This window comes from Homo sapiens, chromosome 14, assembly GCF_000001405.40.
Source record: "Homo sapiens chromosome 14, GRCh38.p14 Primary Assembly".
NCBI lineage: Eukaryota > Metazoa > Chordata > Mammalia > Primates > Hominidae > Homo > Homo sapiens.
In genome coordinates, this window is record NC_000014.9 from 105,093,627 (window position 1) to 105,121,191 (window position 27,565).

The 27,565-nt window shown below is 50.2% G+C and overlaps 1 long non-coding RNA gene across 1 annotated transcript, besides 5 other annotated features; it reads left to right on the plus strand.

The window, feature by feature from the left end:
* Nucleotides 52-674: an enhancer, noted in NCBI's record as "H3K27ac-H3K4me1 hESC enhancer chr14:105560015-105560637 (GRCh37/hg19 assembly coordinates)". NCBI's record gives its function as "activates a minimal SCP1, AML or CMV promoter by ChIP-STARR-seq in naive H9 embryonic stem cells {active_cell/tissue: H9 hESC(naive)}" and the evidence as "EXISTENCE:reporter gene assay evidence [ECO:0000049][PMID:30033119]".
* Nucleotides 140-189: a silencer, noted in NCBI's record as "silent region_6219". NCBI's record gives its function as "represses an Ori minimal core promoter by ATAC-STARR-seq in GM12878 lymphoblastoid cells {active_cell/tissue: GM12878}" and the evidence as "EXISTENCE:reporter gene assay evidence [ECO:0000049][PMID:35858748]".
* Nucleotides 360-409: a silencer, noted in NCBI's record as "silent region_6220". NCBI's record gives its function as "represses an Ori minimal core promoter by ATAC-STARR-seq in GM12878 lymphoblastoid cells {active_cell/tissue: GM12878}" and the evidence as "EXISTENCE:reporter gene assay evidence [ECO:0000049][PMID:35858748]".
* LINC02298 (long intergenic non-protein coding RNA 2298) lies at nucleotides 521-5,870 on the plus strand. The gene is made up of 6 exons (NR_110546.1): nucleotides 521-590; nucleotides 1,701-1,816; nucleotides 1,914-2,142; nucleotides 4,847-4,947; nucleotides 5,093-5,264; nucleotides 5,656-5,870. It is a non-coding gene; the product is annotated as a long intergenic non-protein coding RNA 2298 (long non-coding RNA).
* Nucleotides 7,357-7,506: an enhancer, noted in NCBI's record as "active region_9140". NCBI's record gives its function as "activates an Ori minimal core promoter by ATAC-STARR-seq in GM12878 lymphoblastoid cells {active_cell/tissue: GM12878}" and the evidence as "EXISTENCE:reporter gene assay evidence [ECO:0000049][PMID:35858748]".
* Nucleotides 25,956-26,455: an enhancer, noted in NCBI's record as "H3K4me1 hESC enhancer chr14:105585919-105586418 (GRCh37/hg19 assembly coordinates)". NCBI's record gives its function as "activates a minimal SCP1, AML or CMV promoter by ChIP-STARR-seq in naive H9 embryonic stem cells {active_cell/tissue: H9 hESC(naive)}" and the evidence as "EXISTENCE:reporter gene assay evidence [ECO:0000049][PMID:30033119]".

A 27,565-nucleotide genomic window follows, 5' to 3' on the forward strand; every position in this document is an offset into this window, starting at 1 on the left:
AGGATTCTTTTGGGAAGCCCCTCCGCCGGCTGTAACCCCAGGGCCGTGCCACCCTCCTGATCACCGCAAGCATGGACCCCCCAGCACGCTGCGGGTGGGACAGGCAGGGCCCCTGTGGGGTGGCTTGACTGGCCTGGAGTTGGGGACGAAGTCCCCGGGCTTGGTCCCCCGAGGGCTTGGTTGGGCGTCCCGGGGTAGGTGGCTGCCGCGGCGATGTGGGCGGCTTGCGTGTGGCCGATCGGGGTCGCTGCTGAGCCCCGGAGAGCGGAGGGTCCAGGCTAGGCTGGGGGAGCGAGAGGCGAGGGCGGAGCCGCGGAGGTGTGGGCGGCTTTCGTGGTCCGAGAGGCCCCAGGTTCCCGGCAGGGCGGGGAAGGCTGGGGCGGGGCCAGAGCCGGAGCCGCGAAGCCGCGATGGAGAGGGCCTGGAGGGTGCGCCAGGAGCCGGCGTCAGGGCCTGCCTCCATCTCCTCCAACCCCCACCCCATTTATTCCTGTAACAAATCCCTACCGGGAGCTGGCACAGCAGCTGTGCGCTGGGGACACACGAGATGCTCACCCTCCCTGCCCTCCAGGAGCTTGGACTCAGCTGAGGTCTGCAGGGGCCAGCAGGAGCAGGGCCGAGGGCCCTGGTGGGAAGGTCGTGGCCCACTAGGGAAGGCTGGGCCCGGGGGGTCAGGTGGAGGGCAGGCTGAGCTGCGAGCTGTGTCTTCAGCCTACAGCAAGGCCACCACTCCCAGCGCCTGGCCTCCTCGCTCCCGAAAGCTCAGCTCAGCCTACATGTGCCGACCCCTCTGTCCCCCAGGCCCAGGTTGGGCACTGGTCAGGACGGTGCTCCCAGAGGGACCCAGTAACAGGAGGAGCTAGGGTGAGAGCATGAGGGTGGGGGGAGCGGCAGAGAGGAGGGAGAGGCAGGAGGTGCTCAGGGCAGGAGTGTCTGGAGTGAGGAGGGAGAGGCAGGAGGTGCTCAGGGCAGGAGTGTCTCGAGTGGGTCTGGACAGGAACAGGAAGGGCATTCCAGGCAGAGGGGCCCAAAGAAGCAAAGGTGCACCAGGGAGAAATGCCCGCTGTGCTCCACCACAGTGGAGGTGCAAACCTCAGCATGGAAGATGAGGCTGGAGGGAGGGGCCTGGGCTGGAACATGGCCAGGATGGCAGTGGGGAGCCATTGGAGATGTTTGAGCCGGGGAGTGACAGGGTCAGATTCGAGTTTTGGAAAGATAACATCTTGAGCCATTAAACAGATTTCTAGGATTTCAGGTTTATTTATTTATTTATTTAGAGACTCACTTCACTCTGTTACCCAGGCTGTAGTGCAGTGGTGCGATCTCTGCTCACTGCAATCACTCAAGGCCAAGTGATTCTCATGCCTCAGCCTCCTGAGTAGCTGGGACTACAGGCGTGCACCACCATGCCCAGCTAATTTTTGTATTTTTAGTAGAGGCGGGGTTTCGCCATGTTGGCCAGGCTGGTCTCGAATTCCTGGCTGGGATTACAGGCGTGAGCCACCACGCCCTGCTGGATTTTGGATTCTTGATACGTATCATCAACCACTCTCCAGAGTTTGGCCAGCTTCACGCTCCATCAGTGGTCTCACCATAGACCTTCTAATCTTGATTGTGTTGGCTGGTGTCTATTTTCTAATGGTGTTTGGTTTTGGAACCTGCATTTCTTTGAAAAAGAGTGAGCATGTGCATTTTCCCAGATGCCTGGTATCCAACTGCACTTCTCCATGTGTGCATTGTCCCCTGAGCTGGCAAGAAGATCCTACTAGTTGGTCTGCATGCCATGCCAGCTCGGCCTTGCACCCTGGGGGCCCAGGTAACTAGCTCTCACCAACAGAAAGAGATGTGATGGACATCACCTGAGGCCAGACCCTAAGACCTCTGTGTGCCCCCTCCGTGTCTCCTGTCTGCAGCTGTTGTCCACACCAAGGGTGGCCTACAGAGGGAAGTGAGGACCTTGGGACTTCCTCCAGGACAGCCCTCGCTGTCCAAATCTCCACCTGCTGCAGAGCTGCCTCCAGTCAAGCCCTTGTTTCCAGCTTTCTGTGCCCTAAATAAACTTCTGCTGGGATTGAGCCATCAGCATTCTGTGGTGGGCGTCGCTGCTGCGAGGTTGCCCTCGTGCACACAAGCTCCTCACAGGTAAAGGTGATCTGCCTGTGGACATACTTGTTACAGAAGTTTCCCACCTGCTGTGCGCATCTTGCCTGTGTGCAGTCACCATTCTTTATGCAGTTGGTGCCTCCATCTGCTCCTGTGTGGTTTCTTCTTTTGGTTCCTTTATTATCTCTCTTTTGGTGCTGTTTCCCAGGGACTTAACTGCTGGAAGTTTGATAAATCCTCAACTCTCAAATTCACCCTTTTCTATAGATTTAAACAGACATTGAATGTTTCACCTAGCATTGGGGCAGAAGGAAGGTGCAGGCTCGGCCCTTGGCCCTTCTCGGCCAAATTGATCTCGCGCCCTTGAGAAGCTCCAGAATGAGTCTGAGAAGCCTCACCGGGGCTGATACATCCCTCCAAGGTGGGGGTCGGGAGACTCCCTGGCCAGGGGAGGCCTCCCCTGGGCCAGCTCCAGGCTTTGCCAGGCCCCCTTGGAGCCTGCACCAGCCGTGCCCACCAGGCACAGGCCAGCACGCACGGAGGCTGGCAGGTCTGTGAGCCCAGGATTAGGGGCCCACAGAGGCAGACCCAGGGGTCCTGGAGGTCACAGACAAGGCCGTCAGCTTCTCTCAGCCCGTGCAGCCTGGCCCTGGCCCACCAGGCCAACCTTGTGTGGGTGTGTACACCACCCCCATCCCAGGGGCCACACCCCACCTGGCTCCCGTCCCATGGCTGCCCCAGGGAGGTCTTCCTCTCTTCTCTGCCCACAATTCACCCTCTCCCTGAGCCCTCTTCTCTCACCTGGGATCTGATCTTTCCTCCTGGACACTCATGATGCCCACAGCTTGGTCACCAGCTCTGTGCTAGAGATCCTGACAATCCCTAAGCCCCTTCCCCAGCCTCGGTCTCCCCATCCCGGGAGCAGGGCGGTGATGCCACCCTGTACATGCCTCTGTCCCCAGCCCCGGCTCTTCTCCAAAGTGCGACGCGGGTCTCCAGTGGCCTGGGACCTCCATCTCTCAGAGGCACCCCTCCCCTGGCAGTTCAGGCTCAGGAGCCACCTCTTTCCCTCCGTCTCTGATCAATTCAACCTCCTAAACGTCTATCCACTCTGAGCCCTGTCCCATTCCTGGCTCCCCAACTCACCTTGTCTCCATCCTGGCTGCCAAGAGAGCATCTCAAACACACATCTGACTTGCCCCCTCCTCTGCTCTGAAGCACACACACCATTGCTCCCCAGTACCTGCAAGATCAAACCCAAGCTGTTGTTGTGGCCACAACCTCAATAGAGCCCACACCCCGTCAGGCTATGTCTGGCTATTTACAGGTCCGCCCACCCGGGTTCTGTGCCCCACACTGAAACTCAGGTGTTACTGCTTCTGCAAACCCTGTCCTGCCTCTGCCCCCTTCTGAGTCCCACCCAGCTCTACCCCCTCCTTTGTGCCCCCGACCTGGCCTGTGTCTGCATCAGTTGAGAAGCCCTTGCCTCTCTGGCCTTCCCCGGCTGGGTTTCAGGGCCCTGCCATTTCAGCCCCAAGCCGGAGTCAAATACTGTGTTTCCCCAAACCACAGCAAGGAGAGCCCTCACCAAGAGCCTGCAGAATGAGATGCTCAGCCCCTGTCTGGGATGCAGCCTCCCAGAGAGGCGGAGTGACTGGCTTGGTGTCACACAGCACATCCAAGTCCCAGGTAGCTAAACAGAAGGGAGGAGCCCTGGGCCTGTGCCCTTCAAGTCGTCCTGGAAGCTCAAGCTGCCCTCTGGGCTCAGGGAGCCGACTCCATTCCCTGCAGGTCCAGCCCGTCCCCCTGCCTCCCAACCCTCTACAACACACACACGTACACACACACACACACACACACACACACACACACACACACACCTGAAGCAGCTTGGTTGAGCCAGGCATTAGACAGGCAGGCTCCAGCACGCCCTGGCATCCTGGCCCAGTGGCTGGGAAGATCCCTGACAGGCCTGGTCAGCACCCGGCATCTCAGGAGCTCAGGCCCTGGAGGTCTGAACAGAGAGCACCAGCACGGCCCACTGACCTGTGACTGAGCTGTAGGGCCAAGGGGCCAGGGCGTCCTGTCCCTGAACCACGTAGCCCAGCAGGGGAGGGGCTGCCACAGGAAGGCCAGGTCCCAGCATTGCTTATGGGGAGGGCAGAGGGGGCCAGGGCAGCTCAATGCAGCGCTGGGCCAGCTGGGGTGCAAGGCAGGCCTCGAGGGGCCATGACACCTGCCACGGCCCAGAGCCTCCCCTAGGCCTCCAAACTGCAGGAATGTGAGCACTGGAACCTGGCAAGCACGGCCAGGGCAATGGTGGGCACCTCCCGCCAGGCCCCTCCACACAGGGCTGAATGGCACTCTCTAGCCCAGTCTTCTGACATGGCCTGGAAAGAGATTTCAGGTTGCTTAGTTTTTTGTTTTTGCTTTTTTTTCCCCCATAAAAGATAGGTGGATTTCAAGATTAATTCTTGAATATTTTATAATTTTTGTTCTTTTGGAAAATGAGCTCTTCCCTGTTATTTTTTTTTTTTACTGGCTTTAAAGAATGCTATTGACTTCTTTGTATTGGGCCCCCTTGTTGACCTCTGATCAGTGCTAATAGTTAACTGTTGGTTATTTGGGAAATTCAACATTAAGCAACCATGTTACCATGAAAGACACGGTAATATAACTTTGCCTTCCTTGATATTGCTCCTCAAAGGCTGATTTCTTTTTCCTGTCTCGTTGCATCGGCCAGGACTTCCAGGATGATATGGAAGAGTGACTGAGAGCAGCCGCCCGGTGCTTCCCAACCTTAGAGGGAGGTCACGGGCAGTCTCCCTGCGATGCTGGCCACAGGTGTGAGGAAGACAGTCCTTATAGGAAAATGCCCTCTCGTTCTTATTCTCTACTTTAAAAAATCTTTAAATCATGAGTATAATAAATGTTATCAAATGCCATATTCCACATCAATATAATGATTACAATTTTTTTTTTGAGACAGGGTCTCGCTGTGTCGCCCAGGCTGGAGGGCAGTGGTGTGATCTGGACTCACTGCAGCCTCGACCTGTTGGGCTCAAGTGATCCTCTCACGTCAGCCTCCAAGTAGCCAAGACCACAGGCAGGCGTCACCATGCCCAGCCCCCATGATGACTTTACTTTTCTTCTTGAACCTGGTGAATTTCTGTGTTAACATGTCTGATTTGAACCCTTCTGATATTCCTGAGATAAACTTTATGTGACCTTGGTATTCTGTTGGATTTTGGTTAGCTGATACTTCAAGATTTTTATAAAACTGGGTTGCAATTTATTTGTGTTCCCGTTTCTAGCTGTCTATGAGCTTCATCAAATGGGCAGGACCACTTTCCCTTAACTTCTCCTTTTCTGGAACAACGGACATATCCTGTGGATTATCTGTTCCCCACAGGTTTGGGATATGGGTGCTGTGAATGCCACTGTGCTGGGGGCTTTGGGAAGTGTGTGTTTGTTTTCGTGCGTGTGCGGTGGGATACAGGTGTGGTTACTACTTTGATTTCTTTCTTTCTTTTTTTTTTTTTTTTTTTTGAGATGGAGTCTCACTCTGTTGCCCAGGCTGAAGTGCAATGGCGCGATCATGACTCACTGCAACCTCCGCCTCCTGGGTTCAAGCGACTCTCCTGCCTCAGCCTCCAGAGTTGCTGGGATTACAGGCACCCACAACCATACCCTAAATTTTGTACTTTTAGTAAAGATGGGGTTTCACCATTTGGCCAGGCTTGTCTTGAACTCCCAATTACCAATTTCTTATGTGTCCTTTTGAAGACTTTCTAAGTACGACCAACCTAGTAAAGTGAGTCACCCACCACTGTTTTGTTTGTTTTTGTTTGTTTGTTTGTTTTTTAGAATGGGGTTTCACCTTGTTGCCCAGGCTAGTCTTGAACTCTTGGGCTCCAGCAATCTACCCTCCTCAGCTTCCCAAAGTGCTGGGATTATAGGCATGAGCCACCATGCCTGGCCCCACCACTCATTCTTAACCTCTTCTTCTTTGCCTTTCTCTGTTGCAGAGTCCTGGAAGTTAAATGCTCTATTTCCCAGCCTCCCTTGCAGCTAGGAGCAGTCATGTGACTCCATTCTGGCCAACGAGATACAAGAAACACTTGCTGACAGGTGCAATCAGAAAGCGTTTGCTTTTCCAGTAACATGTAGGACCAGTCACCTTTTTGCATTTCCCCTTTCTTCTTGATTCGAACATTGCATTGCCGTCATGTTTGGAGATGAGTCAGCCATCTTGCAAATAGGAGGCAGCAAGACTGAGGGAAATGCCATCCTGCTTCAGAGGGCAGAATGGAAAGAGAAGCCTAAGATGGCAATGGTACGGTTGGGCAGCTGAGTCAGGACTGGGGCCACTGCCTCTCGGTTTCAAGGGAGAAAAATAAACCCCTGTTTGTTGGCCTCATGCTAGGTTGGATTTTCTTTTACTTAAAGCCAAGACATTTCTAACATACAAAACCAGACACATGTGCATGCCACACGTACATCACAAGTGATCACATGCTGTCCGACTAGCACCTCGATTTTTCCACTGAACCATCAGTCTTGCAGATCATCCTTTATCAGTGCCTGGCAACTTGTCTTGCCCTTGTTTTCTTGGGTTTTTGTTTTTGTTTTTGTTTAAGACAAGGTCTCATCTGTTGCCCAGGCTGGAGTGCATTGGCACAATCATAGCTCACTACAGCCTGGACCTTCTGGGCTCAGCAGTCCTCCGTCCTCAGCCTCCCGAGTAGCTGGTACTAAAGGCATGTGCCACCATGCCCGGCTAATTTTCACATGTTCTTTTAGAGACTGGGTCTTGCTTTGTTGCCCAGGCTGGTCTTGAACTCCTGGACTCAAGCAGTCCCCCTGCCTAGGCCTCCCAAACTGCTGACACTACAGGCATGAGCCACTCCACCCAGCCTCGTTTTTGTTAATGGCAGTATACCACCACTCTGGATGTGTAATATGATTTATTTAACCAGCCTCATCGACCTTTTGAGTTGTTTCCAAACTCTTTGCTATTGAGGTAGGAAACAGAACTCAACTCTGGAGGTAGGGCTCAGACACTGGACCAAATTGAGGACTACCTAAGCAGGTCCAGGGCAGAGGCACCTCCCTATAAGACACACCCACCAGTGTGCCATGTCAGTTTACCACTACCATGGCAACATCTAGAAGTTATGGCATCTTTCCATGGCAATGACCTGGCAACCCAGAAGTTACCACCCTCACCCTAGAAATGTCTGCATAAACTACCCCTTAATTTGCATGTAATTAAAAGTGGGTATAAATCTGAGTGCAGAGCTGCCTCTGAGCGCTGCTCTGGGCATACTGCCTGTGGGTGGCCCTGCTCCACAAGGGACAGTTCCTGTGTTGCTGCCATGCATGGCTGCTCTGCTATGCACAGCAGCTTGCCTCTGAATTCTTCCCTGGGTGAAGCCAGGAACCCTCCTGGGCTAAGCCCCGATTTGGGGGTGTGCCTGCCCTGCACCACTGTTATGGACAATGCTACAATGAATAACCTTGCACATACCTCACTTCACACACGAGAACATATCCATAGGATAAGTTCCTCGCAGTGAAGATTGTTGTCTTATGATGTTCAACCACTGGATCTGAGAACACGATATGCCTTTCATTCTCTCAGGTCTCCTTTCATGTCCCTCAGTGGATTTAAAGTGTTCTTCTTTTTGATTGTACATGTTTCTTTTTAGGTTTATTCCTAGGTTTTATTTTTTTTTTTTTGGTGCTGTGGTAAATGAGATATTTTTTCTCATCAATATTCCTGCTCACAAGTCATTTTTTATGTAGATGAAGGCTAATTATCATGTTACTTTCGTCCCAGCCACAAAACTTTTTTTTTTTTTTTTTAGATGGAGTCTCGCTCTGTCACCCAGGCCGGAGTGCAGTGGTGTGATCTTGGCTCACTGCAAGCTCTGCCTCCAGAGTTCACACCATTCTCCTGCCTCAGCCTCCTGAGTAGCTGGGACTACAGGCACCTGCCACCAGGCCCGGCTAATTGTTTTTGTATTTTCAGTAGAGATGGGGTTTCACTGTGTTAGCCAAGATGGTCTTGATCTCCTGACCTCGTGATCCGCCCACCTCGGCCTCCCAAAGTGCTGGAATTACAGGTGTGAGCCACCGTGCCCGGCCTCCAGCCACAAAACTTAAATATTGTTTGTCATAGAAATTAAATTGATTCTCTTGGATTTTCCAAGGACTTAATCATGTCATCTGCAAAAAGTGATATTGTATTTCCTCCTTTGCATTTTTTAAACTTAATTTCTTTCTCTCTTCCAATTGCAAAAAAATTAAATAACAGTGATGATAGAAGACACCTTCCTGAGCTTTCACCTTGACAGAGATGCTTCTAGTATCTTCCCCATTTGACACAGGAGTAGCTTTGAGGCTGACATAAATGAATGGCAGCACATTGAGAAAGTATTACTGAGAATGCAAGTTGATTCTGGGCACGACGAGTAATGAGATTTATACTTAGCCTCCTGCCATAAACAACGATAAAGTTGGGCCAAATGTATAAGGCAGTTATGTACAGGAATTGGACAACTGGTAGGACTGTGATAGCTGAGAGAAGGGAAATACCTGAAGTGAGTCCAAGTTTGCCCTGTCTTTTTACCTTGGGTTTTCCTACCAAGGTATGAGAGATAAAGCCGCAGCAGAGATCATCAGCCAGCGATCACTGGCTGGGAAAGCAGAGATCAGTGCTGAGGTGGCTACGATTGGTAGAGCAGGGCACTGGAGGGGAGGGTGCTACGTAGAATGAGGGTGCAGAGGCTGCATGGGGGTCCCTCAGGTCCCTGGATGAGGCCAGGCTGTACATGTGCAAGGTGATCCTTCACAAGGCCTAGCGGGAAGCTGCTGCTGTGGGGCTGGGAGCTGACAGACAAGCCCAGCAGTGTGCAGTGCTAGGCGACATTGCAGTTCTTGCCCAGCTAGGGTGGAGAAACCTCACCAAGCCCCTCAGGCAATCAGTTGAGAAATCAGAAAGGCCATGGCTTAAGAATAAGAATCGCACTCCAGAATAATGGCCAAAGCACAGAACTAAGAACACAACCAAAACAGACTCACCCTTACAAAGCATAAAATCAAGCCTGCAGTGATATCAGCAAAATGATGGAATTGGAAGCTCTGGACTCTCCTTTTCAAAACCATGAACACATCAACTCAACAACAATTCCTGAAAATTCCCTTTGCAAGAAATCCAGAAACTAGCTGAGCATCTCACGCATTCCAGGTAAGCATGAATCTACTCACATTGAAACTGGCAGGGAAATTCAAGACACCCTCTTGGCATAATCCCTACCCCCAGCACAGTGCCATATGACTGAGAGGAAATCCCCTAGCTCCCAGCTTACCATGGAGTGAGAAAGAGATGAGCTGTGTATTCAACACCTCAACTTTTCTGAGGGCTACCTAGGGGGCTGACTTCTGTGTTGCCTGTCTCAGAGTGCGGATGGGACGTAGCATAACCCCACTGCCTCAGGGCCATGGAAAGAGACCTGGTGGGATGATCTAAAGTGCAACTAGTCACCACAGTCCAACTCAGCACAGAGTGAACAGGAAAAACAACAAAAACACACCTTAGATTCAGGCTTCTCCCTAGGGAAGAAAAGAGTTGGACAGAACACCCAACAATCCAGTTTTCTGGAGGCTACCTGAGGAACTTCTTTCAGTCACTTGTCTAAAATGCTGACAGGACTTGGCATACTCCAGACACCCGGGGGCTCCAGAAAACAGAGAAAGTGGGTTGGGCCAGCAGGAAGTTTAGAGAGGCCCCCAGAATCTTTGGCTTGGCTGATTGGTGAGGGTCTCCTCCTGTACCTGGCCAGTTCGTGAAAACTTGACAGAGGCCTGCTTTGTTGAATGTTCAGACAGCAACAGAGAAAGGCAAGAAAATGAAGAAACAGGGAACAATGTTTCAAACAAAGGAATAAGATAAATCTCCAGAAACTGACCCTAGTGATATGGAGTTATATGATTTATCAGACAGAGAATTTTAAATAACTATCATAAAATTGCTCACTGAAGACAGGAAAACAATGTATGAACAATGGGAGAATTTCAACAAAGAGACAGAAAATGCTAAAAAGTACCAAACAGAAATCATGGAGCTGAAGAATATGATAACTGCACTGAAAAAGTCACTAGATGAGGGGAACAGTAGACTGGATCAAGCAGAAAAAAGGATCAGTGAACTCAAAGAAAGGTCATTGGAAATTAATCATAGGAGCAAACGGAAAAAAAGAAAAAGAGTAAAGAAAGTAGAAGGGACTTATGGGACACCATCAATCAGACCAATAGATGCATTAAGGGAGTCCCAGAAAGATAAGGGAAAGAATCATTATATTCAAAGAAATAACGGTTGAAAACTCCTCAGATCTGTGGAAGAAAATGGACACCCAGATTCAAGAAGCCCAAAAGATCCCAAATAAGATGAACTCAAAGACATTTACAGCAAGGGACATTAAAATCAAGTTGTCAAAGACAAAGAATTAGAAAGCAGCAGGGAAAAGTGACTTGTCACATTTAAAAGAATCTCCATAAGAAATAAGCTAATTTTTCAGAAATCTTGCAAACCAGAGGGAATGGGATGACATACTCAAAGTGCTGACATTTTTAAAACTACCAAGCAAGAATACTGTGCCTGGGAAAAAACTGTCTTTCAGAAATGAAGATGAGCGACATACTTTCCAGACAAACAAAAGCTGACACTGTTCTTCACTATGAACTTGCCTTGTAAGAAATAATGAAGGGAGTTATTTCACTGGAAATGAAAGGACAATAAACAGCAACATGATAGCATAAGAAAACATAAAACTCTTTTTATTTATTTGTTTTTTGTTTTTGGTTTTTTTTGAGATGGAGTTTCGCTCTTGTCGCCCAGGCTAGAGTACAATGACACCATCTCAGCTCACTACAACCTCCACCTCCCAGGTTCAAGCAATTCTCCTGCCTCAGCCTCCCAAGTAGCTGGGATTACAGGCATGCGCCACCACACCCGGCTAATTTTTGTATTTTTAGTAGAGACGGGGTTTCACCATGTTGGCCAGGCTGGTCGTGAACTTCTGACCTCAGGTAATCCGCCCTTCTCGGCCTCTCAAAGTGCTGGGATTACAGATATGAGCCACCGTGCCCAGCCACATAAAACTCTTTGACAAGGGTAACTATATACACAAATACAGAATACTGTATTACTGTCATGGTGGTGGGTAAATCACTTTTAGTTCTAACATAAAAGTTAAATTACAGAATTATTGAAGATAACTACAGCTAAAAATATTTTAATGGGTGCACAATATAAGTCGATGTTAATTGTGACATCAGTAACATAAAGTAGGAGGAATGGTAAAAGTGTAGAATTTACTTATGTGATTGAAGTTAAGTTGTTATCAGCTTAAAACACACTATTTTAATTATAAGATATTTTATGTAAGCGCTATGGTAAACACAAAGAAAATACCTATAGAAGTTACAAAAAAGAAAAGGAGAAAGGAATCAAAGCATAGCAACACAAAAATATCAACAAACCCAAAAAAGAAAACACGAGAAGAGGGATAAGGCACAGGAAAACAGGAAAAGAAGACAGAAACAAAAACAGGAAGTCAAACGCTACCTGATTCCGCTTATGTGAGGTATCTGAAAGAGTCAAACTCATAAAGTCAGGGAATAGAATGTTGTTTGCCTGCCAGGAGCTGGGAGGAGGGGGAAATGGGGAGTTTCTAATCAATGGGCATAAAGTATCAATTACGCAAGACGAATAAGTTCTAGAGATCTCCTATACAACATCGTCCCCATAGTTAACATTACTGCAGTGTACTACCCTACAGAGGAGTGCAGATCCCATGTGAAGTGTTCTTATCACATAAAAATAAAAGCTTGAGATAAGGAAAACCGAGGACATCTACAAGCATATTCATTGCAGAAAACCGAAGGCTCAGAGAAGACTAAAGTCATTTGCTGTGGTTGTAAAATATTTCCTTCTAGTCCTTTCTATGCTTACATAGCCATTGTCAAATTTTTACAAATAAGGGATGGTATCAGAGATATTATTTTATAATGTATAATTTTGCTCAATTTACAATTAAGAATAAACATTTTTCTTTTTGAGACAGGGTCTCCCTGTTTTCCAGGCTGAAGTACAGTGGTACAATCATAGTTCACTTTAACCTCCTGGGTTCAAACAATCCTCCCACTTCAGCCTCTCAAGTAGCTGGGATTACAGACACGCGACACCATGCCCAGCTAATTTATTTTTATTTTTTAATTATTTTGTTTGAAAAGACAGGGTCTCACGATGTTGCAGAAACTTGTCTCCAATTTCGGGGCTCAAGCAATCCTCTCGCCTTGGCCTCCCAAAGTGTTGAGATTACAGGCATGAGCCATATGAATGTTTTGATAACATTATTTTCTATTATCACAAAACAACCAGCCAGGTGCTGTGGTGGGTACTTGTAGTTCCAGCTATCCAGGAGGCTGAGATGGGAGGATCACTTGAGCCTAGGAGTTTGAGGCTGCAGTGAGCCATGATCACACCACTGCATTCAAGCCTAGGCAACAGAGTGAGACCCCGTCTCAAAACAAAATAAAAATAAATTTAAAAACAAGCAGAAGCCGAGCTTGATATGTTCAAGATGATTTTCCAGTACAATAGAAGTAAACAGAAATAGATCTCCAGGTGAACAGATGTTGGAATTAGCAGACCTTAACTTTAAAAGATCTATTGTAAATCTGTCCAAAGATTAAAGGAGCAAATGAGGAAAATGAATAGACAAACATGAAATCTCCATGGTGAAATCAAAACTATAAGGCCAGGCATGGTGGCTCACACTGTAACCCCACCGTTTTGGGAAGCTGAGGTGGGAGGATTGCCTTAGGCCAAGAGTTCAAGACCAGCCTGGGCAATATAGCAAAACCCCATCTGCACACACACATACACACACGCACACACACAGAGTCAGGAATGGTGGCACAATCCTGTAGTCTTAGTTACTTGGGAGACTGAAGCAGGACTATGACTTGAACCCAGGAGTTCGAGGCTGCAGTGAGCTATGATCACCACTGCACTCCAGCCCGGGTGACAGAGCAAGACCCTGTCTCCAGAAAAGAGAGAAAGAGAGAGAGAAGGGTCAGGCATGGTGGCTAATGCCTATAATGCCAGAGCATTATCAAGGTGATAAAGAAATTGTGGTAGAGCCCTACCATGAAATACTACGTGGCAAAAACAAAAATGAATGACTGATGTATGCCACAACATGAATGAACCTCAAAAACTTTAGATTGAATAAAAAATGCCAAACACAAAAAACATGTGTACTTAATATTTCTATTCAAATGAAGAATAAATGAATTCATTTGACTATAATCATGAATTCACAGGCAAAATGAATCTGTGTTGAGAGAAATCAGAAGAGTGATTACTTATGGGGTTAGGAATAATCTTCAAGAGGCAAAGTGACTTTTTGGGGTGATGGAAATGGCTTATACTTTGGGGCTATTGTCTGCAGTGGTGCATACATTTCTCAAATCTCATTGAATTGTACACTTCAGATCTGTATATTGAAATACCATCTTCCACCAAAAGGAATTAGGGATCCTTGAAGGAATGGCTAGTTACTAGGTTGGTTCAGGGAACATATAAGGGGAGCCTGGAACACTGTGTTTATCAGAGAGTAAGTTGTGCTTCAAGAATGAAGGGGCCTGTGTGGTGGTGCACACCTGTAATCCCAGATGCTTGGGAGGCTGAGGTGGGAGGATCCCTTGAGCCCAGGACTTCGCGACCAGCCTGGGCAACATAGCTAGACCCTGGTTCTACAAACAGTTTTGTAAAAATCAGCTGGGACTCGCTGGGCGCAGTGGCTCATGCCTGTAATCCCAGCACTTTAGGAGGCTGAGGAGGGTGGATTGCCTGAGCTCAGGAGTTCGAGACCAGCTTTGGAAACATGGTGAAACCCGTCTCTACTAAAATATAAAAAATTAGCCAGGCATGTTGGCGCACACCTGTAGTCCTAGCTACTCGGGAGGCTGAGGCAGGAGAATTACTTGAACCAGGGAGGTGGAGGTTGCAGTGAGCCGAGATCACGCCACTGCACTCCATCCTGGGTGGCAGAGCCAGACTCTGTCTCAAAAAAAAAAAAAAAAAACAGAAAATTAGCCGGGACTGGTAGCAAGCACCTATAGTCTCAGCTACCTGGGAGGCTGAGGTGGGAGGGTCCCGTGAACCCAGGAGCTGCAGCTGCAGTGAGCCGTGATCACGCCACTGTACACCAGCCTGGGTGACTGAGCAAGACTCTGTCTCAAACAAACAAACAAACAAAAAAACAAAGGAAGGCGGCATGTCAAAAAGACACAGAAGCTAGCTTAAAGGCACTCCCAGTGGCCAAATCTGGGATGATTTGAGCTATAAAATAAATACTGAAAGTTACAATTAGAATGCATTGAATAAATAAGAATTCATGAATCCACACTGATAGGTATTAATTATATGACTTATGAGGACTAGGATATTTGCATAGTCTCAATATACCTTCTCACAAAATTCTCAGTAATTACAGAGGGAGAGAGAGCAGCTTCACATTCTGAGAACTGATCAAGGTGCAGACCGTGTGTAACAGGGCAAAGTGAAATGTGTGTTCACCTGATGGGGTGCCCTGGGAACACAGCCTGTCTTCTGAGATGTTCCTAACAACAATGTACATCCTGAATCTAACAATGAGGAAACCTCAGGCAGATCCAGACTGAGAAACATCCTACAAAATAACTGGCGTGTGATTTTTCCCATGTGTCAAGGACATAAAAGTAAAGGAAATCCTGAAGAACAAATCCAAATGGAAGGAGACTGGAGAGATGGGGCAACCAAATGCAGTGTGGAGTTCCAGGCGGGATCGTGTGAGGAAAATGATGAAATCTGCAGGGATTTTATCAACTAGAAGGCACTGCTCTATCAGCGTCAGTTTCCTGACTTTGTTTGGTGTTTTTTGTTTGTTTGTTTGTTTTTGAGATGGAGTGTAGCTCTGTTGCCAGGCTGGAGTACAGTGGCGCAATCTCGGCTCAGTGCAACCCCCACCTCCTGGGTTCCAGCGATTCTTCTGCCTCAGCCTCCCGAGTAGCTGGGATTACAGGCGCCCGCCACCACGTCTGGCTAAATTTTGTATTTTTAGTAGAGACGGGATTTCACCATGTTGGCCAGGATGGTCTCGATCTCCTGACCTCGTGATCTGCCCACCTTGGCCTCCCAAAGTGCTGGGATTACAGGCGTGAGCCACTACGCCCGGCCAGTTTCCTGACTTTGAGAGTTGGATTTTTATTATTTAGGAGAATATTCTTGCTCTAACCACACACTAAAGTATCTGAGGGTGATGGGGCATCGGGTCAGCAACTTACTCTCAAATGGTTCCAGAAACTAAGTTGAAACTTTTCTGTAGGTTTAGGATTGTTTTAAAAATCTGTCCATTTGACTGTATGTAAATTACCTCAACAAAATAAAATATGTTAAATTTTATAAAATGCCTCTTCAAGTATCTAAGGAGAGGTTAATAATTTCTGCCTTCTGATTTGTTAATATGGTGAATTGTATTAAAATATTCTCCATTAATGAGCCATCCCGGCTGGCCGCAGTGGTTCACGCCTGTAATCCTGGCACTTTGGGAGGCTGAGGCAGGTGGATCACTTGAGGTCAGGAGTTAGAGACCAGCCTGGCCAACAAGGTGAAACCTCGTCTCTACTAAAAAATACAAAAAAGTCCTGGTGCGGTGGCTCGTGCCTGTAATCCCAGCACTTTTGGAGGCCGAGGCGGGCAGATCACCTGAGGTCAGGGGTTGGAGACCAGCCTGGCCAGCATGGTGAAACCCTGTCTCTACTAAACATACAAAAATTAGCTGGGCATGGTGGCATGTGCCTGTAATCCCAGCTACTCAGGAGGCTGTGACAGGAAAATTGCTTGAACCCAGGAGGCAGAGGTTGCAGTGAGCCGAGATCTCACCACTGCATTCCAGCCTGGGGAGAGAGAGAGAGACTGTCTCAAAAAAAAAAAAAAAAAAAAAAGAGCCATTCTTAACATTGCATGATTCCATGGTAGACGTCACTCGGTTTCAGAGTTTGGTTGTGTGGGTTTTTTTTGTTGTTGTTTGTTTTTTTAAGTGTATGTTGTTGTTTTTTTCTGTCACCCCGGCTGTAGTGGAGTGGTGTGATCATAGCTCACTGTAACGTCGAATTCCTAGGCTCAAGCGCTCCTCCTGGCTCAGCCTCCCGAGTAGCTAGGACTATAGGTGTGCACCACCACGCCCAGGCAATTTTTCAAACACTGTAGAGCCAGGATCTTGTTACGTTTCCCAGGCTGGTCTCACCTGGCCTCAAGCAATCCTTCCGCCTTGACCTCCCAACACACGGGGATTACAGGCGTGAGCCATTATACCTGGCCCCAGAGTGTAATTTTTAAAAATGTGCTGCTTGATCCTATTTACTAATATCTTATTTAGTATTTTTGCATTGTCGTTATTGCAAACGACAATAACATTGCAGTGATTGTCATTACGGCCTGTAATTTTACATTATTGTGCTACATTTTGGAGTTTTGTTATCAATATTATTATTATTTTTTTGTTTTGTTTTTTTTTTTTTAGTAAAGGACATATCATATTTATTCATACACATGCTGGAATTATTGGTGCAGACATTTAAATACATTTTCTTTGAGAAAGTCCTTTTTTTTTTTTTTTTTTTATGGAGTTTCCCTCTTGTTGCCCAGGCTGGAGTGCAATGGTGCAATCTCAGCTCACAACAACCTCTGCCTCCTGGGTTCAAGCAATTCTCCTGCCTCAGCCTCCCAAGTAGCTGGGATTACAGGCATGCACCACCACGCCCAGCTATTTTTTTTTATTTTTAGTAGAGACGGGGTTTCTCCGTGTTGGTCAGGCTGGTCTTGAACTCCTGATCTCAGGTGATCTGCCCGCCTTGGCCTGCCACAGTGCTGGGATTACAGTCGTGAGCCACCACAGCTGGCCTGGGAAAGTCCATTCTTTTTTTTTTTTTTTTTTTTTTTTTTTAATTTATTTTTTTATTGATAATTCTTGGGTGTTTCTCACAGAGGGGGATTTGGCAGGGTCATGGGACAATAGTGGAGGGAAGGTCAGCAGATAAACAAGTGAACAAAGGTCTCTGGTTTTCCTAGGCAGAGGACCCTGCGGCCTTCCGCAGTGTTTGTGTCCCTGATTACTTGAGATTAGGGATTGGTGATGACTCTTAACGAGCATGCTGCCTTCAAGCATCTGTTTAACAAAGCACATCTTGCACCGCCCTTAATCCATTTAACCCTGAGTGGACACAGCACATGTTTCAGAGAGCACAGGGTTGGGGGTAAGGTCACAGATCAACAGGATCCCAAGGCAGAGGAATTTTTCTTAGTGCAGAACAAAATGAAAAGTCTCCCATGTCTACTTCTTTCTACACAGACACGGCAACCATCCGATTTCTCAATCTTTTCCCCACCTTTCCCGCCTTTCTATTCCACAAAGCCGCCATTGTCATCCTGGCCCGTTCTCAATGAGCTGTTGGGCACACCTCCCAGACGGGGTGGTGGCCGGGCAGAGGGGCTCCTCACTTCCCAGTAGGGGCGGCCAGGCAGAGGCGCCCCTCACCTCCCGGACGGGGCGGCTGGCCGGGCGGGGGGCCGACCCCCCCACCTCCCTCCCGGACGGGGCGGCTGGCCGGGCAGAGGGGCTCCTCACTTCCCAGTAGGGGCGGCCGGGCAGAGGCGCCCCTCACCTCCCAGACGGGGCGGCTGGCCGGGCGGAGGGCTGAGCCCCCCACCTCCCTCCCGGACGGGGCGGCTGGCCAGGCGGGGGGCTGACCCCCCTACCTCCCTCCCGGACGGGGCGGCTGGCCGGGTGGGGGGGCTGACCCCCCCATCTCCCTCCCGGACGGGGTGGCTGGCCGGGCTGAGGGGCTCCTCACTTCCCAGTAGGGGCGGCCGGGCAGAGGCGCCCCTCACCTCCCGGACGGGGCGGCTGGCCGGGCGGGGGGCCGACCCCCCCACCTCCCTCCCGGACGGGGCGGCTGGCCGGGCAGAGGGGCTCCTCACTTCCCAGTAGGGGCGGCCGGGCAGAGGCGCCCCTCACCTCCCAGACGGGGCGGCTGGCCGGGCGGAGGGCTGAGCCCCCCACCTCCCTCCCGGACGGGGCGGCTGGCCAGGCGGGGGGCTGACCCCCCTACCTCCCTCCCGGACGGGGCGGCTGGCCAGGCGGGGGGCTGACCCCCCCATCTCCCTCCCGGACGGGGTGGCTGGCCAGGCTGAGGGGCTCCTCACTTCCCAGTAGGGGCGGCCGGGCAGAGGCGCCCCTCACCTCCCGGACGGGGCGGCTGGCCGGGCGGGGGGCCGACCCCCCCACCTCCCTCCCGGATGGCACGGCTGGCCGGGCGGGGGGGCTGACCCCCCCCCCCCCCACCTCCCTCCCGGACGGGGTGGCTGCCGGGCGGAGACGCTCCTCACTTCCCAGATGGGGTGGCTGCCGGGCGGAGAGGCTCCTCACTTCTCAGACGGGGTGGTTGCCAGGCAGAGGGTCTCCTCACTTCTCAGACGGGGCGGCCGGGCAGAGACGCTCCTCACCTCCCAGACGGGGTCTCGGCCGGGCAGAGGCGCTCCTCACATCCCAGATGGGGCGGCGGGGCAGAGGCGCTCCCCACATCTCAGACGATGGGCGGCCGGGCAGAGACGCTCCTCACTTCCTAGATGTGATGGCGGCTGGGAAGAGGCGCTCCTCACTTCCTAGATGGGATGGCGGCCGGGCGGAGACGCTCCTCACTTTCCAGACTGGGCAGCCAGGCAGAGGGGCTCCTCACATCCCAGACGATGGGCGGCCAGGCAGAGACACTCCTCACTTCCCAGACGGGGTGGCAGCCGGGCAGAGGCTGCAATCTCGGCACTTTGGGAGGCCAAGGCAGGCGGCTGCTCCTTGCCCTCGGGCCCCGCGGGGCCCGTCCGCTCCTCCAGCCGCTGCCTCCCGGGCGGCGCTCGCCGGCGCGGCGGCAAAGACTGAGACAGCTCCGCTGCCCGCTGAACTCCATCCTCCCGGCGGTCGGGCGGCGGCGGCTGCGGTCGGTCGCGGCAGCGGCTCCGCTTCATATCTGCAGCTGGGGCCCGCGGGCGTCAGCGCCGCGACTGTCCTGGCTCCGCACTGCCCCGGGCCGCAGCGCAGCCGCGCCAACCACCAGCCGCGGCCACCATGGCCGGACGGGCTCCCTAAGCCACCGACCCCAGCCCGCGGCGCCTTCGACCCTTCTGGGGCCTCCGGCGCCGCGACTTCCTCTGCCTGAAATTTCTTTTTTCTTTTCCTTTTATTTTATTTTATTTTTTGAGACGGAGTCTTGCTCTGTTGTCTGGGTGGAGTGCAGTGGTGCAATCTCGGCTCACTGCAACCTCTGCCTCCCAGGTTGAAGCGATTTTCCTGCCTCAGCCTCAGCCTCCTGAGTAGCTGGGACTACAGGTGTGCACCACCACGCCCAGCTATCAATATTATTTTTTAAATATGTTATTTTTATTAATAGATTTCTTTTCTTTTCTTTTTTTTTTTAAGACAAAATCTAGGCCAGGCGTGGTGGCTCACGCCTGTAATCCTAGTACTTTGGGAGGCCAAGGCGGGTGGATTGCCTAAGCTCAGGAGTTCGAGACCAGCCTGGGCAACATGGTGAAACCCTGTCTCTACTAAAATACAAAAGAAATTAGCTGGGCATGACAGCATGCACCTGTAGTCCCAGCTACTTGGGAGGATGAGGCAGGAGAATTGCTTGAACCCAGGAGGTGGAGGTTGCAGTGAGCCAAGATTGCGCCACTGCACTCAGCCTGGGCGACAGAGTGAGCTGTTTCAAAAAAAAAATTTGTTTTAACATTTTTAAAAATTAAAAATGGGGTTGAGTGCGGTGGCTCACTGAGCCTGTAATCCCAGCACTTTGGGAGGCCGAGGCGGGTGGATCATCTGAGGTCAGGAGTTTGAGACCAGCCTGGCCAACATGGTGAAACCCTGTCTCTACTAAAAATACAAAAAAGTGGGGGCCAGGCACGGTGGCTCACACCTGTAATCCCAGCACTTTGGGAGGCCGAGGCGGGCAGATCACGAGGTCAGGAGATCGAGACCATCTTGGCTAACACGGTGAAACCCTGTCTCTTAAAAATACAAAAAATTATCCGGGCGCGGTGGCGGGCGCCTGTAGTCCCAGCTACTCGGGAGGCTGAGGCAGGAGAATGGCGTGAACCCGGGAGGCGGAGCTTGCAGTGAGCCAAGATCGCACCACTGCACTCCAGCCTGGGCGACAGAGCGAGACTCCGTCTCAAAAAATAAATAAATACAAAAAAGTAGCCAGGCGTGGTGGTGGGTGCCTGTAGTCCCAGCTTCTTGGGAGGCTGAGGCAGGAGAATCGCCTGAACCCGGGAGGCGGAGCTTGCAGGGAGCTAAGACCACGCCATTATACTCTAGCCTGGGCAACAAGAGCGAAATTCCATCTCGAAAAATAAATAAATAAAAATAAAAATACAAAAACTAGTCTGTAATCTCAGCTGCTTGGGAGGCTGAAGCAGGAGAATTGTTTGAACCCGGGAGGCGGAGGTTGCAGTGAGCCAAGATCACACCACTGCACTCCAGCCTGGATTATAGAGCAAGACTCTGTCTCAAAAAATAATAATAAATAAAAGGTTCACATTTTAAAAATGGTCTGCATCACTTCGTGTGCTTAGATTTTTAAATCTCTTCAGAGATCTGCTATAATATTATTATAATCATTCATTATAATATTTTCTGTAAGAATAATGTCGTAACCAAGGCCTGATTTATTTGCTTGGTGTTCATCAAAATGTGCTCTTGTAATGTAAACAATCTTTTTGATATCTGGGATTATTTTCTTCTTGTTGTATATTTCAACTTTCTCTTCTTTTTTTTAAAAAAATAAGCGTGACTCTCAGGGGATGTCTGCACGGGAACCCATGTCTCTGCTGCCCCACAAACACAGCAAGAGCCGCGAGCACGCGAATGCATGGCCAAGTTGGGAGGTCAGAAGGAGGGATGGGACCAAAGGAGGGAGTGTGTGTTTTTTTTTGTTTGTTTTGGTTTTTTTGAGACGGAGTCTCGCTCTGTCGCCCAGGCTGGAGGGCAGTGGTGCGATCTTGGCTCACTGCAAGCTCCGCCTCCCGGGTTCACGCCATTCTCCTGCCTCAGCCTCCCGAGTAGCTGGGACTACAGGTGCCCACTGCCACGCCTGGCTAATTTTTGTGTTTTTAGTAGAGACGGAGTTTCACCATGTTGGCCAGGATGGTCTCCATCTCCTGACCTCGTGATCTGCCTGCCTAGGCCTACCAAAGTGCTGGGATTACAGGCATGAGCCAACACGCCCGGCCAGGGAGTGTGTTTAAGAAGTCACGTGGCACACGGGGTGGAAGCAGAGGTAGATGGTCCGCCTGGGTGCTGAAGGCCCTTTCAGAACACAAAGAGAAATTAGGAGAATGGGCAGTGCAGGTTTTTGGGAAAAGAGCTGGTTTTTGTTGAAAAAGCAGAGGAAACCCCAGACATTGCATGGGTTTAGGCCTTAGCCTCACCACTGTCGAGAGCCTCCTGCCCAGGAGGGCCAAATTCTAACCTCCAATCTGCTTGGTGAGGACCTTAAGATCCTTTCCACCCTGGCAAGCCACCTGCCAGGGTGAGCTGAGAAATCAGCCAGGGGAGCAGAGTCACTTATGGCCAAGAGGAATTGTTCTGGGGTTTGGTTAGTAAGCAGGAGAAAGAGGAGAAGAAAACTGCGTATGGGGGTTGAATGCCTCTAGCAGAAGAAGGTGAGGCATAGAGGCCTCTTACCACTAGGGAACATATTGGAGTCACGCAGCAAAGTATGTTAACAGCAGAAGTTACCCAAGTCACAGAGCACCAACATATGCTATTGGTGGCAGGAATCCGAGCTACCGGTGGTGAGTCTGTAGGGGTCTGCAGCAACCTCAATTCTTGCCTCCTCAGAAGAAAGAATTTGACTGTGGGGCACAAGGCAGAAGGAGAGACCGAGGCCAGTTTCAGAGCAGAGGCAAAGGTTCATTAAAAAGTTTTAGAGCAGGAAGGAAAGGAAGGAAAGTGCACTTGGAAGAGGGCCAGGCGGGCGACGTGGAGGGCAAGTGCCTCTTTTCTCTCCTTGATTGGGTTTTCTCATTGCTTTTCTATTTTATTTTGATTTCATCCCCAAATAATTAGCTCCTAGACTTACTTATTTGTTCTAACCAACCTGAGTCCGTTCATTTTTGCTTCTGTCTTTACGATCTGACCCTTTGGGATGTGGTCGCCCATCATCCCCATGGCAGGCAGGGAGCCGTTTTGACAGCAGCATCTCCCTCTCTCACTCCCACCTGTGGAGGACAGCCTCGGGACTGGCCCAAATGCCAGCATTTGCTCTCCTGCCTATTTCCCAGGCCGTGGTGAGGGGCTTTTCCTCAGGGTCTTCATGGGGAGAGTCAGGGGATGAGTGCCTCTCTCCTCACTTTGCACTCCTTCCTCTATGTCATGCCAAGGCACTTCAGCGGCTCAGCCTCCAATGATGGAGGTGACTCTGGAGCTCAGGCTTCAATCAACCAACGAAGAAAAATGTTAGAGACACTTCCAGCTTTTTCTTTTTTTTTTTTTTTTTTTGAGATGGAGTCTTGCTCTGTCGCCCAGGCTGGAGTGCAGTGGCGCAATCTCCACTCACTGCAAGCTCCACCTCCCGGGTTCACACCATTCTCCTGGCTCAGCCTCCTGTGTAGCTGGGGCTACAGGTGCCCGCCACCATGCCCGGCTAATTTTTTGTATATTTAGTAGAGACAGGGTTTCACTGTGTTAGCCACGATGGTCTCAATCTCCTGACCTCGTGATCCGCCTACCTCGGACTCCCAAAGTGCTGGGATTACAGGCATGAGCCCCCACGCCCGGCCACTTCCAGCTTCTTGAACTAAAAATATTGAATTCAGAATCTCTTGTAAATGCACACAGCTCAACAGACTCTAATCTTTAAGTTTGTGCTTCCCTCCCAGGTCTAGTGTTTGCAGAAGCCACCCACCCCCACACACACACCCCCAGTCTTCTAACAATATAAATGACAAATCTTGCAAACCTTTTGATGTGTAAGCCTTCTTTTCCCAAATTAGGTTTGTGCTGATACCCCTGGGACATGCCGGGATCTGATTGTAATTGCAGGTTTGGAAGTGGTGAGGTTGGTAGTGGTGGAGTGGGATGGAAATCAGCACCTGCTTGCAAAGTAACCACATCAGGTGAGGTCACAGAGAGGTCTTCAAACAATGCAGGACCAGACCCATCAAACAGGGGCTACTTCTCTTGGTGTGATTGTCAGGGTATGCAGCTCATCGCCCCCCTCCTGATTCTGGGGTCCAACACCTTCCCAGTCCATGCCCTGATTCTCACAGAAGAGACCTGAGGGAGGGTGAAAGTCCGGTCTACATTGGCATTCAGCAAACCTCCCAATAATGCCCTGAGGCTGACCTGAGGGCACACCAGACTCAACAGCCTTAAGAGAGAAGAGATTCTTTCAGTGATGATGGAAACCTTGTTCTCTGACCAGGCCTTGAGCTCAGCATTTGAAAAGCCCAACTGTGTCATCTTGTTTCCTGAGACTCTCCAGTGCAGCTCAGAGCAGCCACCTCAGCCCACAGGCCTGTGCCCCTCCTGCCCGCTGTACTGTGCTGCCATCACCAGACCCACACTGCACAGGAGCTTCACTCTAGGTGAGCACAGGTGGTTACTTAATTAACTGTCTCACCAGGTGCCACGGACTCCAAATATCCCTTCATCCTCATGGCCCCCAAACCCAACCAGGTCATAGAAACCATCCAGAATCTCACCCACCAAGGTCTGTTATCTGCAGTCACTTCTGGTGTCAAATACTGTAGGAGTCAGGATTCAGCTGTGGATAACAAAAACTTATCCTGGCTACTTTGGGTAGAAAGGGATTGAATCAAGGCAGAATGGAGAGAATTAAGGGCACTGTGACAGCAGGAAGAGCAGGGTTTCAGCTGGGCCTCAGCCACGGCTCTCACAGTGGTACTCCAGAATTGTCCTGCTGTGGTAGATTAGAAATGGCCACAGATCCTTTGCAGCTCCTGCAGTCAAGAAGTAGATCCATTTCGCCGCCTCCCCCGACCCCCTCATTAGGGACTGACTTGTGACTAGCTTTGACCAAAGAAGGTATTGAAAGTAAAGCTCTGGAGCTCCTGCTCTGGTGCTCTTGGAGAGCTGGGACAATGTGAACAAGTATTGGTGAGGCTAAGAAACTGGGTAAGTGTTGAAGCACCCCAGCCCCAAACCAATCAACTGATAAACCTGTGTGTGATGCCAATAAGAACCAGCTAGATCCCAGCTGACCCACCGACTAACTACAGAACCAACAGCTGAGCACAGATGCAAGCGTGAACCCAGCCAAGCCCAGCAGAACCATCCTGCTGAGCCCAGCCCAAATTGTCAACCCACAGAACCATGACCTGAATGCATGGTCATTGAGCTTTGGGATGATTCATTACACAGCAAAAAGATATCCAATGCGCCTCTCCAGGAAGCTTCCATTCCTGCCACAATCCAGAAACTGGGGAAACCATAAGATGCCCCTATGTTTGGCTCCAGGACCATATTCCCCTAGGCAAGACAAATAACAGCAAAATGAATATCCTATGACATGAGGTCTAGGGGTGAGACTCTGAGGCTTCTGTTACTGCCGCCTCAGAAATGCTGACCATCTCCCTGTCTGGGCTTGCTAGTGGAAAACGAGGGAAGCAACAATGACAGATTCTACCTCATTTTTCCCATCCAACTGTCACCAGAGGGTGTCTGTTGGAGGGGCACACTCCATGGAGCCCATGGCAGCTGCTTATCTAATCCACAGCCTCAACCCAGCCCTGTCAGTACTGAACCAGATTTTCATTTCCACCAGTTTGACTCATGGGCCTCACTTGGTCTGAATTTGGTGTGTGTATGTGTGGGGGGAGGGATGGGCTATCATTCGTGGTCCTCCTCAACAACCCCACCACAAAAGCACAGAAGCCACAAAGAAAGACTGACAGACCTGACTACACAAAAATTCCAAACTTCTGATCAGTTAAGAGAACCACAGTGAACAAACTGAGGGACGCTTCTTGCAACACACATCCCAAAACGATGGACAGATTCAACCATAAGCATTTAAGACTTTTACTCAGCAAAGACTCCACCAGGAACTCTGAATTTGCAAAAAAAATATATATACATTTGCAATATACATGATGGAAGAAATGACAGATTTATCCATGTAAAAATTAAAAATATCTCATGGCAAAAGACATTATAGACAAACATAGCCAGTGCAACCTGTTCTACCAGCTTGGGGTACAAATAAGGTCACATATTTTTGTTCTTCATAGGAGCCCCACCCACTCCCAGTGCTGGAAAGGGAACTCTATTCCCTCTCTGGGTGAGCTCACACAGAGCACAGCCTCTGTGCAGAGCAGCGCCACTGCCCCCACCGACATCTTCAGACGTGTTCGCTCTTGACACGGTACACCCACAGTGATAGAGCCATCCCTCAAAAAAACCTGCACACAGGCGGCTCCACAGCAACAGCTTGAAATGTCCGTCACTGGGGCACCGGGAGAATGTTCTGTGCACAGGTGCTTCCTGACAACGGAATCCTTGCTGTGGTTGGGAAGACTGGAGTGGACCCCTAGGCCCCAGGCAAAAGGCTGGTTTCTCCTGCCCAAGACGCCTGAACAGGCAGGGCCGAGAGCTCTGTTTATAACCCCAAGCGCCAGAAGTGCTGATTTTCTAAAATAAGGGTAAAATGCATAGCCAAGTTGGGAGGTCAGAAGGAGGGATGGGGCCAAATGCAGATGAGCCGATGTGGAACCGCAGGGGCAGGGCTGTCGGACCCAGCTGCGTCTGGGAGGTACTGGGCTCTGGGGACACAGCCAGGCCACAGGCTCTGCCCAGACAGGGACTGGAACTGGGCTCTGCACAAGGCTGGGCCTGTGAGGGTCTGTCCCGCAGGAAGGGGGACAAGAGAGGGCAGAGGCGCCCAGCAGGGGCACCCTTCCAGAGTTGGCATAGCATCCTTGAGAATCCTGTCTGCTCTGGGGAGGCTCATGTGCTTCTTGTCCATGTATGTGCTCACAGGACATTTGGAGACCAAATTCATGCCAAGGAGAGAGGTGCGGGCCTGGGACCTCTCCCCCTTGTGTGCAGGTGGGAGCTTCATGCTGAGTGACCCGGAAAGGGGTCAGGATGCTCTGTCAGCTCTGTGGCCATGGCCATCCATGTAGCCCTTTTATGCATTTCTTACCTGCAAAATGGGAATCATAAGAGTATCACCAGCAAAACACCTGTGGTGCTGCGGGTTAAGTGAATTATTTTTGCAAAGTTTTCAGAGCAAGATCTGGCATAGAGTGAACACTGTGAAGCATTTGTTAAAGGAATGAAGAAATATGACGTGGTTAGCTAGTCTCTGAGGCCGAGCTCTGGAGTAAAATTCCTTTCCCCATTCAGAGGAAAGGATCCACCCACTAAGAGGTGGGAACATCTACAAGGCATAGAGGTGCAGGGATGAGCTACACAGGACAAAACCGTTCCAGTATCCCATTCACTAAGCCCTCTCATTCTTTCTCAGCTACACCAGAGGTGTGCTGGCGTCTTGACCTCAGTCAGTGAGGGCCACTGAGTGCATGTCTCGGCTGTCTAACCAAGCAAACCAGTGACCCCTCCTCACTGGTGAGCAATCACCCACAGGCCAGCAGCTCCAATAAGGAAATACACATGGATAAGCGTGACCGGATCCACCCTTGGAAGCTGCTATGGACTGAATATTTGAATCCCCCCAAATGCATATGTTGAAGTCTTCACCTCCAAGGTGATAGCCTTAGGAGGTGAGTTGGGGAGGTGAATACATCATAAGGGCACAGCCTTCATGAGTGGGTTTAGTGCCTTTTAAAAGAGGCCCTAGGAAGCTGTTCACCCTTGGCCACGTGAGGACAGAGTGAGAAGGCACTGTCTATGAAGAACAAGCCCTCAACAGACACGGAATCTGCCAGCATTTTGATCTCAGACTTTCAGCCTCCAAAACTGTGAACAATAAATATCTGTTGTTTATAAACCATTTAGTCTATGGTAGCCTCTTAAAGCAGACCAAACAGACGAAGAGAGAAGCCATCCCCACACTCAACCCAAGAGTTTCTACCCATATGAATTTTGGGGTGTCAACCATCTCTCATTGGGTTTAGACTTTATATGTGTCCCCATGGGGCATGCTGGGCTCTGCCTTGAGTTACGAATCTAGAGGCAAAAAGGGATGCTGAGGCTGTTGTGAGAAGGGAGAATCCCCCAGCAAACAACTGCCTTGGGGGAGGTGATTACAGGGCAGGCATGAAGTTAGGGGGTGCATTCTGCAAGACTGCCCTTACTTCTGACACCCACTG